Here is an 18,333-nt window from a genome sequence, read left to right as displayed (position 1 = left end):
TCCAATAAATTAGGCATTATAAGTATTCACATTTTGTAAATGAGGATACTGAGACTCAGAAAGCTTTATTAACTTACCCAAAGACCCATATTCAGAGTCTGGATTCAGATCCAGATTTGTCTGACTCTAAAGTCTAATTTTTTTAATTGTAAAAAAAAAAATACTACCTTTGGAGAGATGAACCCTTATCCTTCTCTTTGACACACTCCTCTGCTTCAGCAGTGTGCTCTCGGCCATCCCAGTCCATCTTCAATATGACTATTCATCAATGCGCCACTACTGTACAAGTCTTCACATAAAATTACATAGGATACCAATGCACCCTTAATTAGAAGTGCACAAAGTCAAGCCCTGTTGCAAGGAACAGCATCACCATCTACCCTATGCCATCAGTACCATTAGCTTCACAAGCCAAAAATGGGGGCCTCTTTAACGTTTTCCTCTCCCTCACCACGCCTGCCACAACCCGTCCAATCATGTACATTTTCCTCAGTTGAACCTCTTCAATACTTCCCTAATGCATTCACTTGCCCCCTGTTCACCATTTCCATCGCTACTACCCATCTCTCACCTGGACCACTACGACAATCTCCAAGATTGTGTTCTCACTTCCACTTTTGCTCCACATGGCTCCATTTTGTGTCCACATCTTGGGAATGCATTCTTAAGGACACATCCAGGGATCTTTATATAATCTAATCACAAATTCCACTGTTTAAAACTCCTCAGTATGACCCTTCGCCATGTCCTGGGCTTCAGCCCTAATAGTGAGTGGTCTGTGGTTTTTGGAATTTACTCAGCTCTAAAAACTCCGGGATGGCACACACATACCAGGCATGGATACACCTGCATCCCCCTGGACCAGCAGTCTCTCCACATCTCCCTGGAAAACCTGTACAGGTGTTTTGGAACTCACTCTCATTTCAGCTCCTCCAGGAAGCCTGGGTTAGGTGCCCAACTGAGTTCTTCTCATCACAACCCCAGCTCTCACCCCTCATCCCACTGTATGGAAATTTTTTTTATTTATGTGACTTCACCTCCAGACTCTGACCTCCCTGAAAGCCAGGAGCCATTCTGTTTATACACAGTGCCTAACATGAACAAATGCTTGTTAAATAAATGAATGAATGTGAACCTGGTATACCATAGGCGTCAGAACCCCCCCCTAGCTTCCTCAAGCATTAGCTGTGTGATCTTAAGAAAGTTGCTTAATCTCCCTAGACCTCAGAGTTATTGTCTGTAAAATGGAGATCATAAAACCTATACTGTCAAGTTATTGTGAGATTTAAACTAAATTATATAATAGATGTAAAGTCCTCAGTGTCATGCCTCATATATAATAAGTATGCAACTGTTAGTTGTTATTATTATTACTGTGCCCTTCAAGACCCTACTGAAAACATTCATGTTCTTGAAAGACTTCGAATCAATTCCCAGTCCACCATGATGACTGTGCTGCTCTGTGCTGCATTTCATAATGCATTATTTTGCACCCTTGATATTGTTTGAAAGGGTCTGCCCTTTCCGTACTTTCTTCAAGTCGCCTAATACTTGAACAAATGCTTTTAGAATAAATGATATTATCAAGTTTGGTTTTGTTCTATAAACTAATGGTGCCCTTTTGCTATAGATCTTACAGTCCATTGGCGTTTCAAACCATGGAAATTCACTTTGCAACTCCTAATGATGCAAATGCCATAAAGAGAGGCCAGTGAGAGGAACACACTTAGGGGGAACGGCAGGGCTCTGGAAGGGAGACAGGTGGTGATCCCAAATTAGAAATCAGGTCTTAAAGGGGCCACAAGCGAGATGACATCTCAAAAAGAGGGTTTCCTTTGTCACAACAGATGTGAAAAGGTGAATGGTCAGACCAATACTTAAAAGAAACTTACAGCTTTGCCCCTGTAAGCGATACTGTGCAGCCATTAAAAATAGGAGGCAAGCTAATAAAATGGCAAATAAGAACATATAAGGGACAATGTTAAGTTAAAAAAAGATTCAGATAACGTATGGCTTTTGATCATAGTATGTAAAATTTGCTTTAAAATAAACAAAAAACTTAAAAGGAGTAGACCAAAATTTTAATGCTGTAACAATTTGCTAAGTTTGTGGGTGAAATTTTCTTTTTATCACTTTCCCATACCGTTTGTAATCTTGCCATATTCTTTTAAAATACAAAAAGTATTTCTTAGAAAATACATATTCTGCGTGCCTCTCTAGCAGATGTCTCTAGAAAGAAATGAGATAGCGCAGAAGACACGCCCTAGACTGCAGGGGGCTCCATGAGCCCAGAGCCTGACTCAGCAGCGTGAGAACAGGGGCGAACCTGGGCATGGGGCACTCTGCAGCTTGATCCCGCCCTGGATGGGTCCCTTCTTTACCTGCCACCGCCTCGCTGGGTGTTACTGAGTCCCCCGCCAGCAGGCCGCCCTCGGTGGGCGCAGCGCCCCTCCCAGTCCCGGACCATGCTATCCCCAAGAGACCCTCCTCGCGAAAGATCTCTCTGGGAGAAGGGAGGAGCTGCAAGGGGCCGGAAAGAGTTACAGGGCGCAGGCCTCTGCGACCTCGCCCTCCCCATGCCCGCGCGGCTCCCTACTCCCGCCCCGCGGGCCGATGACCTGTACCTCTTGCAGGGGATCAGCGCCTTCCTCTCGTCCAGCACCCGCACGCGCTGGTTGAGCCCGTCGTAGGAGAGCAGGGCGCGGCTGTTGCGCCCGCTACTTTGCTGGTACATAACCTGGCGCCCCTCCCACTGCTGCGGCGCCTGGCACGGGCGCGGGGCTCCCACCGCCCCCAGGCTGCACAGGCCGCACAGGGTCCAGGCCCAGAGGCCGCCCAGCAGCCAGGCACCCAGGGCGCCCGGGACGGTGCGGAGGGGAGCGCGTCCTGGCATCGCGGTCAGCCTTCCCCGGCCCGAGGGCAAGCCCAAGCCCAAGGGGGCGCTGAGGCGTCCGGGATCAGAGTGGCTCCCGCCGGCTCTTTCCGCACTGTGCCGGGAGTGTGGTCTGGACCAAAGTGCTTCCTGTCCCTTCGGTGGCCTCTGCCGCTTTTGAGATCCGGACGCGCGAGTCCCGGTAGCCGGGACCAGGGCCCGGGGAAGGCTCCAGTGAATCGCGCGGGAGCTATTTCTGCCTGGGCCACTGCCTGCTGCCACTGCCTGCTGCCACTGCCTTCTGCCGCTTCGGTTTTCACTGCTCACTGCTGCCAACAGGAAATGCAGTGGCAGTGGTGCCACTAGCATCCTGGGAGGCATCGTGTTTTAAGAGGGGGGATGGGGGGAGACTGTGCTGAGAAGTGTGTTTCTCCACTAACTTCAGTGTTCAACAGGTAATCACACAGGGAGGGGCAAGTTCAAGGTCAAGATAGGAAAAGCAGAGCTGCTGCGTTTGCTGTGCAAACGTTTGCCCCGCCTACATTGCCCCTCGACAAAATTGCAAACTTCTTCCTCCAAATTAAAAGTGGAAAGACGAGTCTTTTCCTGAAGAAATGATACTAGCTATTCATCATGGCCGCTCCTCAGCTCCCATTCCCAGTGAAGAGTCTAGGAGACTAGTAGACAGCCCCTTGCATTGGGCCTAGGACTCATGGACATAGCCTCAAGGTCACATTGCAGTGAGACTGCTCCTCCCATCGCCTGGCAATACCACCAGCCGAGTGGTTTGGGTGTCTGGGGGGTTTCGCTTCTTCAAGAATAAGGTTAATTGGGTTTATAGTTATGTAATGTTAGGATCTATAATATGGAATGAGCGAGGCTCACACACCTGTAGTCCCAGCTACTCCTGAGGCTGAAGTGGGAGGATCGCTTGAGCCCAGGAGTTAGAGGTTGCAGTGAGCTATGATCATGCCACTGCACTCCATCCAGCCTGGGTGACATGGCGAGACCCTGTCTCTAAAAATATAGTGATAAAGTATGAAATCAAGAAAAAAGAAAGGAACTAAAAAAATGTATAGCGTCTTTCCATTTGAACTGCATTTCAAGGATGATTAAGATTGAGCCAGGTGAAAGTGGGAGATAACATTCCTGAATGAAGGGCATAAGGACAAGAAAAGAATAATGCTGGGGTTCAAGGACAAGGTAGAGGAGTACTCTGAAGCCATAGCACTCATTTTAAGGAATTTGTCATTGATATTGAGGACTGTGGGAACTATCAATCAATGTAAAGCTAGGGAGGAGCATCATCAGGCATATGCTTTAGAAAGCCCACTTAGACAACAGAAAGGGTAGGGCCAGAGGGAAGGCAGGGAGAGGAGGAAGCTACTGTTATCATCCTGGAAAGAGATGATCCTGACTCAGCTAAGGCAGCGGGAGTGGTCATGGAAAGGGTGGAAGACAGGTGGGAGCTGTAGAGAAGCATTTCAACTCAGAGAGAGAGGTTTCTGGTTTGGGCCACTGGGAATCCAGTCCTGAGTGAGGAGAGATGATCAATTCATTTTAGGATTGGTTGATCTTGAGCTGACTGTGGAGTATTAAGGTGGAAATATCCAAGGGACAGCTGGATAAATACTTCTGGAAACCAGCAGAGCTTTTGGATTAGGAAGCCATAGGTACATAGGTGGTAAATGAAGCCGAAGAGTAGAACAGTGGTTCCTGGGGAAATTTCACATCCCCCTCCCCAGCAAAGAAACATTTGGCAATATCTGGAGACATTTTTGATGATCACAATGTAGATGGGGAGGAGGCTACCGCTGACATTTTGTGGGTAGAGGCCAAGGATGCTACTAAACTTCCTACAATGTGCAGTACAGCCACCTCCCCTCTCCCAAATGAAGAGAAAATTATCTGGCCCCAAATGTCCTAAGTGTTGGGGGTGAGAAAACCTGGAGTTCAGGGGAGTGTTGAGTGTGAGAAGAAGGATTAGGATGGAGCCCCAGAGAGCTCCAGACATTTAAAGGATGGGCAAAGAACAGGCACTTGAGGAGACCAAAAGGAGTCACCAGAGAGAAGCCACTGAATGAGGCAACTTCCCGAGCCTTGTTAAATAAATGTAAGGCATGGAAAGAATGGACTGAATGCTGAAGTAGGGTGTTCTAGAATCACAGCCTCCCTGGAAGTCCCGAAGAGGAGGGACAGTTGACAGGTTTTCCTGATGCATCCTTCTCTGCTGCCCCCTGTCTGTCGAACCACCAGAGACACTACCAATGGGCCGAATGGGGCAGGCACAAAGCTTTAGGAAGAAGGGCTCTTCATTTCCTCTTACCTTTTCTTAAAGGGCATGCCTCAGAGAACATCAGGGAAGCCCATAAGACTTTGTGACTTGGTACTTACATAGTTAAACAGATGCAGCAGGTTCAAACTGGCTGCAGAAATTTGAGCCCTCTCCGAGTTTGCCCTGCTCAGATTCATAGGAAAAGTGTAGGGTAGTTCAGCTCTTTCTCTTGCTCCCCAGGTAGGAACTCCAGCTGAAAATCTTTTTCACCCAGTGAAGGGTTTAGACTCATTGGAGTTTACTGCTAGAAATGGCTTGAGATGTCATCTGGGCTTTCCTCCTCATGTGATATTTTACTAGCCTGGCTTGGCATCTTTGGAGGTGGAGACTGGTTCTATAGGAACTAGATTACCTTTCTAGAGTGGCTTGGCAGTGTAAGAACACCCTGGGCTTCCCCTAAATAAGAACCAGACTCTTTGGATGAATCCTGAAATGTATTTGTCTCATTTATCCTTTTCACTTACTATGTTTAATTCATGTTCCCTAAAAAATAAGATAATGCATTTAAAGTTCTTAGCTTCATACCTTGACCATTGTAAATTCCCAATAGATGTCACTTGTGCTTGTTGTTTCCTCAGCTGTTTTAATCCTTAGTCTTTAGTTTTAATCCTCAGTCAAAACTAAACTAATTGTGTAGGTTTAAGCTTTGGAGAGAAAAACCATGTGCCTTAAATTCAAGTTAAACTATGTTTTTAAAGATTAACATTCAGAGAACATGTTTCCATATTGCTGATGCCCTAATAAATAGCATATACCAGAAGTCTTACCACCTGAAGATTGATATACATCAATCTCATATAAATAAATCCTCCCTTTTCTGTAGATAGCTGAGCCAGCAATTGGACTACCTTTTCCTAATGCAAGTAAGATAAAAGAGAAAGCAAAACATACATACTTGCATCCCATAGTACACAGCTTCTTACTCAACTCAAGCAACAGTCTCTGAGCACATCAAAAATCAAGATTTTAGGCTGCTGAGGTGGAAATCCTTTGGCATGAAGGATCAGAGCAGGGGAGACCTTTCAGATTGTGGTGCCCAATGTTTTCTCCTGGGTTCCACTAATGCTGCAGAGGGGAACAGGGAGTTAGAAGGAAGAGGAAATGTTAGAAGACATTTCTGAAGCTGGAAGATGCTAGCACACCTTCCCCCAGTTCTGTTAACTTCCTGGAGCAGAAACAAACCAAGTGTTATACTGGAAAAATTTCGGCCCAAACTGTCTACTAGCAACAACAACAACAAACCACACTCCACACAACTAAGGGCGGAGTGGGAGTGATTTATACAACGTGACCCTCCTGTTCTGACATTCACTGCACTCTCGCCTGCCTTGCAGGACATTGTCCCAACTGTCCTCAGCGCTCCTCATGCCCCCTACCGGAGAAAGCAAATATATTTCAGAATTAGAGGGCAGCAGAAGCTCCTATTTTCCCCCAACTCTATACTTGGAAAAACTCTAAGGCAGAGGGAGCAAAGTTCAGTTTTCAGCCAAAGAGTGTCTTTCTCTCTCTTGAAATTCTCTCCCGCACCCTCTTGTATCCGGTGTCGAAAACAACTGCCAGAGGTTCTTTTTCTTGGTCCGAAGAAAAAAGACTGGCCAGACTAAAAAGGAGGGACTTTAGGGGGAAAGCAGGCTTCCAGCCCTGGGCTGCGGCCCAGAGGGGGTGATGTCACCGCTTCTGCACCGACGGGCCTGGGGGTGGGGCGGCCGAGGGGGAGCCCGCGCCGCGGCTGCAGCTGCCAAGGGAGCGTTCCGAGCCCACGTCAGGGGAGGTGTCGGGATAAATAGGGTCCCGCAATGGCCGTGGCTGGCTGCGCTCCGAGCTGCGGAGTCCGGGACTGGAGCTGCCCGGGCGGGTTCGCGCCCCGAAGGCTGAGAGCTGGCGCTGCTCGTGCCCTGTGTGCCAGACGGCGGAGCTCCGCGGCCGGACCCCGCGGCCCCGCTTTGCTGCCGACTGGAGTTTGGGGGAAGAAACTCTCCTGCGCCCCAGAGGATTTCTTCCTCGGCGAAGGGACAGCGAAAGATGAGGGTGGCAGGAAGAGAAGGGCGCTTTCTGTCTGCCGGGGTCGCAGCGCGAGAGGGCAGTGCCATGTTCCTCTCCATCCTAGTGGCGCTGTGCCTGTGGCTGCACCTGGCGCTGGGCGTGCGCGGCGCGCCCTGCGAGGCGGTGCGCATCCCTATGTGCCGGCACATGCCCTGGAACATCACGCGGATGCCCAACCACCTGCACCACAGCACGCAGGAGAACGCCATCCTGGCCATCGAGCAGTACGAGGAGCTGGTGGACGTGAACTGCAGCGCCGTGCTGCGCTTCTTCCTCTGTGCCATGTACGCGCCCATTTGCACCCTGGAGTTCCTGCACGACCCTATCAAGCCGTGCAAGTCGGTGTGCCAACGCGCGCGCGACGACTGCGAGCCCCTCATGAAGATGTACAACCACAGCTGGCCCGAAAGCCTGGCCTGCGACGAGCTGCCTGTCTATGACCGTGGCGTGTGCATCTCGCCTGAAGCCATCGTCACGGACCTCCCGGAGGGTGAGGCCGTAGGAAGGATGGAGGGAGGCGAGGAGGCGCCCGGGGCTGTGGCTGCCAATCGAGAACTGGGCGGCCACACCTAAGGCTGCCAGGGGCGTCTGAGGCTTGTAGGAGGTGGGAAAGAATGGGGGAAACATTTTCTTCAGAAAAAGTCTGGTTTCTCCCATAGGAATTTTAGGAGCTAGCGGAGAGCACTGCACCCCATAAAGAAAAAAAAAAAGATTTTGCTTACAAAGGGAGCCTTCGATGATGTTTGCATTTATAGTAATAACAGAAATGATAATAGCAGTAAACAGGTGTTGCTAGGTGTCTGAGCAAGTGTTAAACACATTACACGTTATTGACTCATTTAATGCCCAAAATAATCTCACCAAGCAGGTGCCAATACTCGTTCCATTTAGCGCTACTTCTTAAAAAGTTTTTTTTTTTCTGAAAAAGCAGTAACGGTCATTGCTTCCCACCAGGAGTGAGATTTGTAATTGCAGTTTCCCTGGAAAATTGTGAGGTCTGTTTCATAGTCATTGGCCCGGAGCCAACTACAGTGGCATTTTAGTTAACCCCATCTCTGCTTCCACTTCCTTCTTTTTTCTTTGGTCATTTGACTGCTTTTCTAAAAAGAAGGAGAGGTTTAAATTCACTTCTTGAAATGAAACCTAGGAATATTTTTGCATTCTTTTATCCAGGCTTTATCTGGCCCAGGTTACCCCACATTTAAACAGACTATGATATTGCTGTGCTGGAATCTCTGAAGTTATACCCCAGAGCATTGCTCTAAACATGAAGGAGGAGTGGTTAAGTGAACAGGGTAAATGGAAACTCCTCTCTAATTTAGAGTTTTAGGAAAGAAAACATATTTATTGTTTAAATTATATAAATAATAGAGGGTTATGCTTGGTTTTGGTTATATACCTGTGAACTGTTTCTGCACTGCAAGATATGAGGTAGGGATTTGGAAATATTTTGGTTATTTTGATTAACATAAACTGTTAACTTGGAAAATCAACATTTAAATATGACTTTGGGAGAGAGTGATGTGATTTATCCAGTTTGGTTGTATATACCAGTGAGGTTAAATGGATATACATTCACATCGATTTGTGCTTGGATAGGCAAATATTCCCCCAGAGGATTTCTTTCCTAAGCCCTGGATATCATTATGAAAGGAGAAGTCAACAATCACATGCCGTTTTTACTTATATAAATATTTTTTGTCTTGTTTTCTTTTTTTGAGATGGAGCCTCACTCTGTTGCCCAGGCTGGAGTGCAATGGCACAATCTCAGCTCACGGCAACCTTCGCCTCCCGGGTTCAAGCGATTCTCCTGCCTCAGCCTCTAGAGTAGCTGGGATTACAGGCATCCACCACCATGCCTGGCTAATTTTTGTATTTTTAGTAGAGATGGGGTTTCACCATATTGGCCAGACTGGTCTCAAACTCCTGACCTCAGGTGATCTGCCCTCCTTGGCTTCCCAAACTGCTGGGATTACAGGTGTGAGCCACTTCGCCTGGCCCATTTTTACCATTAAATACTATTATTTTGAGATACTGTTTTAGTTTATATCTTCAGAGGGCTCTTTATACCAGCTGGGTGAACAGACCAAATCACCAACCACGCCCATGTGGCCCTGTTTGTGTTTCAGATGTTAAGTGGATAGACATCACACCAGACATGATGGTACAGGAAAGGCCTCTTGATGTTGACTGTAAACGCCTAAGCCCCGGTGAGTTCTTTCTTCATGGACGTTCCCTCTACTTCTCCTCTCCAGAGTGATTTCTGTTCTTTTTCCAACTTTCTGCCTCTTCTGCCTTTTTTAGATCGGTGCAAGTGTAAAAAGGTGAAGCCAACTTTGGCAACGTATCTCAGCAAAAACTACAGCTATGGTAAGTCGTCTGTTAAAGCCATTTACTTTTGAGACTTGGTTCATTACAAAGCTGGAATCTCAATAAGGTCGCTCTCACTAAAGCTAGTCACAAAGTAAAGAAAACAAAAGGTTGACTATTTTTCCAGTTGATCATGTGAATTCTATTAATATATGGCACAATAACAACTGCAAAATATCTTGCTTTTCTGGATGAATCAAGTGCAAACAAAGGAAATGACCCAGGTGATAAAAATTACATGCATCAGATTGAAAATTTGACATCTTGATCCTCCTTGTCTTGGTGAGAAGTGCTTATCAGCCCTGATGGCACACCCCACCTGTTCTCTTCCTGAGGTTTTACTGCTGCAGGAAGAATGAGAGAATGATCCATGGATCTGATTATCTGAGAGTCAGAGAATTAAGGCCCATAGGCCCAGACAATTAAGATCTGCCTGCATATCCTTTTACTTGTGACTAGCTACAAATATTTAACATCTTAAATAAATTGTGAAAAAAATGTTAATCACAAAATCCTATGGTTACACTATCGAACTAGTTTAAATGCCCTCCTCTCTCTTACTTGAAAGAACCATTCAGCATTTTCTTCCATGAATAAGTCAGTCATGAAATTTGAAATGTTTTAAGTAATTTTAATTTCACAATTGTCATCTGAAAGTAAATTTAATTAACATATGTTCTTTTTCAATTCAAAAAGAAATGTAAAAGGCAGACATTTTAAAAATGTCTGTTTGGGCTGCCTACTTTATATTTCATTGCATGTCTTAAATCATTTCTGCTGAAATAACATAAAGTGGTTTTAGGGAAAATGCTTATTTTGTTTGCTGACTTAGTTTTCATCTTGCAGATTGAAATTTTATATCAGTAAGAAACTTTAGGATACATATCAGACATGAAAGTAGGAGGATCACAGAAATGTAGAAATCTGAAAAAAAATAAGCTGTTACAAAACTATCAGATTTAAGAATCATATTTAGCCAATGGGGGTAATTCAGCAACAACAAAAAGTAGTTTATCTTTTCCTGTAGCTTTTTTTCTTAAAGCCTGCTCTATGTAGCTACCATCCTCATCTGATTTACTTAGTCCCTCCTCTGCCAAGATCCAGCCTGAGATATTAATCTGAGTTTCACTGTCATGTCATTCTCTGGGGTGTTATGGCCTTTGAACGACCTTGATGAAGAAACCATTTTGTATTCAAGTCCTTTGGTGTCTTCATAAACTGGCTTCCTGAAATGGAATCCAAGACAGAGCCATATTAGGCTGATTACAACTCTACGGGAGGCAGTAATAGCAAGAGACCACAGAAACCAGCATTTAAAACTTGGTCAGAGACAGTGACATTAACAGCCATCTGTAATAACAGTTCTATCTCTGCTCACCATGGGTCTACTTTGTCAGTCTGTGAAGTTAAAAGATTGAGAACAGTAGTCCTCAGAGACTCCCTCCAGTTCAAAAATGTTATGACTAATGACTATCTCTGTAAAACAGAAGAAGCTCAAGCATCAGATGAGTGATTGAAGAAATGCAAACCTTAAGATGACTTCTGATCTGAATATATATGATCCCCACTTCAAATCACCACAAGGAAGAATACAAATATATGTTTCTGTGAATTTTTTACTGACCTAAAGGCAGAGAAAGACTAAAACCTGCTTTTCAGCTTGCTTTCCTATCTTGCAGTATGCCCCGGAACATTTAAGACAATGTTGACAATATAGGACACCATCCATTTAGCATATGACTGTGTGGGCTGTTTGCCTGCACTCAGGCCACTTGGACATAACCATAATTACAGGAGTGATTCTTTAAGAGAGGCTCAGAAGTTGGCATGAATACACCATCCCTAGTTTTTCCCCAAAACCTTCAACAACACTTTTATCTATTTTTAAATTGCAGTTATTCATGCCAAAATAAAAGCTGTGCAGAGGAGTGGCTGCAATGAGGTCACAACGGTGGTGGATGTAAAAGAGATCTTCAAGTCCTCATCACCCATCCCTCGAACTCAAGTCCCGCTCATTACAAATTCTTCTTGCCAGTGTCCACACATCCTGCCCCATCAAGATGTTCTCATCATGTGTTACGAGTGGCGCTCAAGGTAGGCACAAAGAGGCAGAAGGAACTGTATGCACACTGTTAGGAAGACCTCAATCTCAGTTAGCAGTCATGGTTTAAAAATATAACAAAAATATGCCAAAGTCTTTTTAAAAAAATTAGTTTAACAGATGCCTCTGTTTGAATAGCATATATTCTATCAATTAATTCTTCATAGAATGAAGGAAAAATCAAAATATGAGTATTTGAATAGAGTCTTTAAAAATCAGTTTCAAAATTCATTAAGTGACTTCAAAATTTACAGCAAGTCAATTATTTTAAGGAAGAACAATTCTTTTCAAATCATTCAAACAATTTTAGAGTGGCACATACTGAACTTTTAAGGCCACTTTAATAGCTTACAGATCAAGTAAGTAGGGAGTTGAGACTATAGTTCCACATATTTTCCATATAAACACTTCATAATATTTGATAGAGTATTGCAAACAAACACGCATGCACACACACACACTTTAAGGTGATTTCTGAATCGGATATGTGATTCTCAATTCAAATCATCACAAGGCAATGTATAAACAAATAAATATATGCTTCACACACACTCATACACATACACACAAATTCTAGCTGTGTGTATTTGTCTCCCTGGCCTCTCTTTCTTTCTTATTTTTTTTGGATATTGGTACATTACTTGTAATATAAAGTCAAACTCTTGAGCCCAGCCTCCATGTTGGGCCCCATAAGTTGATGCAGTATACTTCTCCAGCAAAATCACTCAGTTTTACATAACAAGGCATCCCTCCCATTCTCTGCTGTTAATGCTCATCTGTTTCTTCTAGATATAACCTAAGACTATTCCTCTGAAAAGAAACCAAAAACATCTTTGGGAACTAACTCCACTTTTCTGTATTCTATCAGTACTTGGGTGCCCTCCTTACAACATGGATATCACCTTGAGTTCTTGGTTTTAAAGCCAGATTCTGCGTATATCTTGTCTCCCTAAAGAAGCAATCAGTGATTCTGGACTCATCTCTACCAAGGTGTTTGCATCTGCTGCAGTGCTAGAGATCCAGTTGGGGATACCAGGTTGTTGGTCATTACATTCTATCTGGAGAGATGAATGGATTATAATCCATCCCAGTAAAAATAGTTTTGGATAATTGGGATTTATGTCCTCACAAATGATTCTAATAAATTGGTAAGGGTATGTAAAGACAATTCTGAAAATAAGAGAGGAAATCTGCCTTATGAGACCCGCAAACCTGGTGTAAAGTTACACTTGTTAAAACCATGTGATGCAATAGTAGACGTAAAGATAAATGAAACAGAGGAAAAACTCTTGAAACAGGTTTTAATGCATAAAATACAGCTTTTCATTATGAAGGAAATATGGCACATCAATAGAAAATGAATGTATTATTTGGTAAATGTTGAAAATATTCCTATTTGTAAAAAAATACATTCTTTTCACTTTATACTGTGCTTTACAATAACTTTCAAATGGATTAAATAGATAAATATTCTAAGAACTTTAAAAAAAGGACAAAATTAGTGACTAAATATGTTATATCTGAAAAGAAAAGTAATTTGTAAACATAAAAGTAATGTAAGAAATTACAAGGAAAAATATCAATACACATATCTGACTGCATAATATTATACATATAAAAATCACAAATAATGATAGAAAGGCAAATAAAAATTGAGAAACATACTTGAAAAGATATGAAAAAATAGTAATCTTACTAAAGAGTTCATAAAATTAATATTTAAACATTGAGATCATGATATAGAAATATATATACAGAAATTTATATAGAGAAGTTCAAATAGTAATACAAATAGAATACAGATAGTAAGTAAACATTTAAAAAATTATCTCCTTAATTCTAAATCCAAATAAAAATAAGATTCCATTTTCACCTAATTCTTAATGTTAGTGAATTGGATGAAAGTGCAACCATTTTGAAAACAACTTGGCACTATGCATTGAAAATCTTTTTAAAAAATACATACCCTTTAACTCAGTTATTCTATTTTAAAAATCTGTCCTAAGAAAATAATAAGCCAGTGCACACTACTGTATACAGGGTTATTCAATGCAATACTGGTAATCATAGCTAAGCAAAAGGGGAATTCAGCAATAAAGAAATGGATAGATATATTATGGATATCCATATTCATAGTATTATATTATTAACATTATATTTTTAAATTACTCTAATTACATCAGAAAATTTAGATCATATAATGACAAAAGGAAATTTGCAGATCAGCAGATCATCTCAATACACAATGTGATCTAATAAATATAATTAATATTGTTACAAGGAGGAATGAAAGGAAACACCAATAAAATATAAATGGTGGATGTGTGGATTATGGGGTAAAGGATTATTGAATAATTTTTTTACAATTTCTGTATTTTTAGCTGTTTACTTTTGTAATAAAAATCTGTTTACTAAGATAATTTTTTTTCAGGATGATGCTTCTTGAAAATTGCTTAGTTGAAAAATGGAGAGATCAGCTTAGTAAAAGATCCATAGTAAGTATCATGAACAATGCTGTGAAGATGGATGTAAGTGCACATAACAGATTTCTTTAGAGTTGGGGAATTCTTCCCATTCTCTAATCTCCAAGCTCTCATAAGAGCCAGCAATAGCAACAGTATTTGTCTTTTGAATAGGCCGTTAAGAGTGTAGCTATTCTCACTCAGAATTTTTACCAGGAATCTATCATTCGACTTCAAAGGTGATTTAGTTGTGTTCAATACTAAGGTACTGGTTATTTCCAAGTTAAATGAGCCTTTTGTTTCTTTATTACATGTAGTTGTTTTAGTGAACCATGAGATACTTGAGCAGACTTAATATCTATTGAGATTAAAACTGACATATATTTGGAGGGGTGAAATATCTAGTACTAAAACTTACCCTATCACTATACACAGCAGAATCTTTTCCTGTATTTATAATAATTTAAGACTTTTGTCAAAAATTATATGCAAAAAGTAATCGTTTTGCAGTCAAATCTATGATTTTTGTGGTAACATCGTAGAAATATTGGTAATTCAATTAGAGGAGTTAGAATAATTTTTTCCCAGAGATGTGAAATTATACCAATCTAAAGACACCAGGTAATTGGTTTTAAATTTTTAAAGCATCCTTCTTTGCAAAATATGTCATATATATTCAGAAGAATTTGTGTTTATAGGTTCACAAAACATATTGCTATTGCCTATGCTCTCTTAGTTTGCACCAATAAAGAGATCCAAGCAAGAGAAAAGTACATATTAACAATTGAGTTATGGAGAATGTAGTTAGAACACAGCCTCCGCTAGTCAGTGCGTTTCTGAATAAGAGAACCAAACACTATTGTGTTAAATCAGAGCTAAAAACTCATGAGCTGCTCAGGAGCATGCTTAGTTCTATTAGACAGGAAATTCTAGCAAGATTGGTTATCTGGTTTCCAGGACTACAGTAGATTAGAAGCATCAATACATGAAGGCAAGCAGACCATGAGAACCTGAGCTTGCCAAGAGGAAAGCATTCAATAATCATAGCTCTGGGGACCATTCAGTTTGGCAGCATATTTTCCAATATACTTCAGTAGAAATTTGCAAATATCACCACATGATAGCAACATACCATAGTGAGTTTATTATTTTAGAATAGACTAGAAGTGTGTCATAGCACAGTGGGGACAATGTTTTTCTTTTCTTTGCATTCCTAGTGCCTAGAATAATACCCAGCTGATGACTGTGGTCAAACTTTTGGCTGAATGAAATAGACTCTAGCCAAGCAGGCACATCTGCGTTAATATAAAGCAATGTCAATTCAAGTGGACTCACTTTTTTATTGTTCCTTACTTGAGCTATTTAAAGAATAAATTTTTTTCTATCAGAGAAACTTGATTTTTCAGAATGACTCAATTCCCAATGGTTCTGGATAGCTAGCACGTTAGCGGATGACTAGGTGTAGAAGGGGCCTCTGTCTTCCTTTGGATGTGGGAGAATGAAGTGAACAAACTCCTGACTTCCCAGTGACATGGGGTAAACTAATGCTAGTAGCCATGAAATAAGAGCCTTTTTAGAAGGCTTTGCACTGTAGGAATGTTGCATTATGGGGCTAGTGGTCAAAAGTGCATGGGTGAGGGCCTCAGGCTCTGGAGTCAGAGTGGGTGAATTTGAATCCTGACTCTGACATTTACCAGCTCTGTGCACTGCAAATAACCTCTTTGGGCTTGTTTCCTGCCCCTGTCAGTGGTGCCTATTTGGAAGGACTGTTGTTTCAATGAAATGAATGCATGTGGAAACTTCATCACACACTGAGCACTTTCCAAGTCACCTGGTACATGATAAGTGCTTCACATAGGGTAGCTATTACAATTGTTACCGTCATTAATATATTACAGTGAAAAACTTGCCTTAATTTTCACATTAGCTGAGCACCATAAAGGGGTGAGATAATTTGACAGTCATGTTTACAAATTGCTTTTCAGCAGTGGGAAGAGAGGCTGCAGGAACAGCGGAGAACAGTTCAGGACAAGAAGAAAACAGCCGGGCGCACCAGTCGTAGTAATCCCCCCAAACCAAAGGGAAAGCCTCCTGCTCCCAAACCAGCCAGTCCCAAGAAGAACATTAAAACTAGGAGTGCCCAGAAGAGAACAAACCCGAAAAGAGTGTGAGCTAACTAGTTTCCAAAGCGGAGACTTCCGACTTCCTTACAGGATGAGGCTGGGCATTGCCTGGGACAGCCTATGTAAGGCCATGTGCCCCTTGCCCTAACAACTCACTGCAGTGCTCTTCATAGACACATCTTGCAGCATTTTTCTTAAGGCTATGCTTCAGTTTTTCTTTGTAAGCCATCACAAGCCATAGTGGTAGGTTTGCCCTTTGGTACAGAAGGTGAGTTAAAGCTGGTGGAAAAGGCTTATTGCATTGCATTCAGAGTAACCTGTGTGCATACTCTAGAAGAGTAGGGAAAATAATGCTTGTTACAATTCGACCTAATATGTGCATTGTAAAATAAATGCCATATTTCAAACAAAACACGTAATTTTTTTACAGTATGTTTTATTACCTTTTGATATCTGTTGTTGCAATGTTAGTGATGTTTTAAAATGTGATCGAAAATATAATGCTTCTAAGAAGGAACAGTAGTGGAATGAATGTCTAAAAGATCTTTATGTGTTTATGGTCTGCAGAAGGATTTTTGTGATGAAAGGGGATTTTTTGAAAAATCTAGAGAAGTAGCATATGGAAAACTATAATGTGTCTTTTTTACAATGACTTCAGCTCTGTTTTTAGCTAGAAACTCTAAAAACAAAAATAATAATAAAGAAAAATAAATAAAAAGGAGAGGCAGACAATGTCTGGATTCCTGTTTTTTGGTTACCTGATTTCATGATCATGATGCTTCTTGTCAACACCCTCTTAAGCAGCACCAGAAACAGTGAGTTTGTCTGTACCATTAGGAGTTAGGTACTAATTAGTTGGCTAATGCTCAAGTATTTTATACCCACAAGAGAGGTATGTCACTCATCTTACTTCCCAGGACATCCACCCTGAGAATAATTTGACAAGCTTAAAAATGGCCTTCATGTGAGTGCCAAATTTTGTTTTCTTCATTTAAATATTTTCTTTGCCTAAATACATGTGAGAGGAGTTAAATATAAATGTACAGAGAGGAAAGTTGAGGTTCCACCTCTGAAATGAGAATTACTTGACAGTTGGGATACTTTAATCAGAAAAAAAGAACTTATCTTGCAGCATTTTATCAACAAATTTCATAATTGTGGACAATTGGAGGCATTTATTTTAAAAAACAATTTTATTGGCCTTTTGCTAACACAGTAAGCATGTATTCTCTATAAGGCATTCAATAAATGCACAACGCCCAAAGGAAATAAAATCCTATCTAATCCTACTCTCCACTACACAGAGGTAATCACTATTAGTATTTTGGCATATTATTCTCCAGGTGTTTCTTATGCACTTATAAAATGATTTGAACAAATAAAACTAGGAACCTGCTATACATGTGTTTCATAACCTGCCTCCTTTGCTTGGCCCTTTATTGAGATAAGTTTTCCTGTCAAGAAAGCAGAAACCATCTCATTTCTAACAGCTGTGTTATATTCCATAGTATGCATTACTCAACAAACTGTTGTGCTATTGGATACTTAGGTGGTTTCTTCACTGACAATACTGAATAAACATCTCAATAGTCAAACATCTGTGCACATCCTTCATTAGTACCTTGGGATACATTTGTTTAAATAGCATTTTCGGGCCAAGGAGTATGCTCAGCAAGGAAAGTTCTTGATCTTGTCAGTTACGCCCCAGAATGCTTGGACCATCCATGTATGGAAATGCTCACTAAGTGTATGGTGTATGGAAACCCTCACTAAGATTATTTCTCCTTCCCCATATTGATTAAAAATGTAAAGTTGGAACTGGTGGCCACCTTGGGCAAAGCTCCTCCCTTCGTCTGTGAACCATCAGCTGACAACATTCTCAGCACTTCCTACACTCCTGGCAGCTGGGAAATAGTGATTTGAGCCCCTCAAAGTATAGAGATAAATAGATGGCTTGATAGATGATTGATAGATAGATGGATAGAAAGATAGATGGATGGATAGATAGACAGACAGACAGACAGATA

General features: G+C 41.8%; 2 protein-coding genes across 4 annotated transcripts in view, besides 2 other annotated features; one reads left to right on the top strand and one right to left on the bottom strand.

Moving 5' to 3' along the window:
- Positions 1-3,193, bottom strand: part of EPDR1 (ependymin related 1) — a 31,297-nt gene extending 28,104 nt beyond the window's left edge. For 2 of the 3 annotated variants that reach the window (NM_017549.5, NM_001242946.2), the window contains exon 1: positions 2,625-3,193. In NM_017549.5, the coding sequence (NP_060019.2) occupies positions 2,625-2,893 (269 nt within the window). In that variant the 5' untranslated portion in view covers positions 2,894-3,193. Of the gene's footprint in view, positions 1-2,381; positions 2,515-2,624 lie in introns of those variants that run through there. The other variant, NM_001242948.2, reaches the window with a different exon arrangement.
- Positions 2,499-2,948: a silencer, noted in NCBI's record as "silent region_18107". NCBI's record gives its function as "represses an Ori minimal core promoter by ATAC-STARR-seq in GM12878 lymphoblastoid cells {active_cell/tissue: GM12878}" and the evidence as "EXISTENCE:reporter gene assay evidence [ECO:0000049][PMID:35858748]".
- Positions 7,016-17,901, top strand: SFRP4 (secreted frizzled related protein 4). The gene is made up of 6 exons (NM_003014.4): positions 7,016-7,740; positions 9,380-9,460; positions 9,555-9,620; positions 11,516-11,714; positions 14,153-14,216; positions 16,169-17,901. Exons 1-6 carry the CDS (start codon positions 7,296-7,298, stop codon positions 16,352-16,354), a joined length of 1,041 nt encoding a protein of 346 aa, NP_003005.2. The 5' UTR covers positions 7,016-7,295; the 3' UTR covers positions 16,355-17,901.
- Positions 9,938-10,107: an enhancer, noted in NCBI's record as "experimental_98467 CRE fragment used in MPRA reporter constructs". NCBI's record gives its function as "activates a minimal promoter by MPRAs in K562 erythroleukemia cells, with activity observed for both the introgressed and non-introgressed 7:37953413 variant alleles {active_cell/tissue: K562}" and the evidence as "EXISTENCE:reporter gene assay evidence [ECO:0000049][PMID:34662402]".

This window comes from Homo sapiens, chromosome 7 (assembly GCF_000001405.40).
Source record: "Homo sapiens chromosome 7, GRCh38.p14 Primary Assembly".
In the NCBI taxonomy this organism is placed as follows: Eukaryota; Metazoa; Chordata; class Mammalia; order Primates; family Hominidae; genus Homo; species Homo sapiens.
This window is presented reverse-complemented; position numbering and strand designations above follow the sequence as displayed.

Coding starts and splice junctions, on each gene's coding strand:
- SFRP4 (NM_003014.4), top strand. CDS start 7,296: ATGTTCCTCTCCATCCTAGTGGCGCTGTGCCTGTGGCTGCACCTGGCG. Junction 9,621..11,515: donor CAGCAAAAACTACAGCTATG/GTAAGTCGTCTG, acceptor TTTAAATTGCAG/TTATTCATGCCAAAATAAAA. Junction 14,217..16,168: donor AGCTTAGTAAAAGATCCATA/GTAAGTATCATG, acceptor ATTGCTTTTCAG/CAGTGGGAAGAGAGGCTGCA.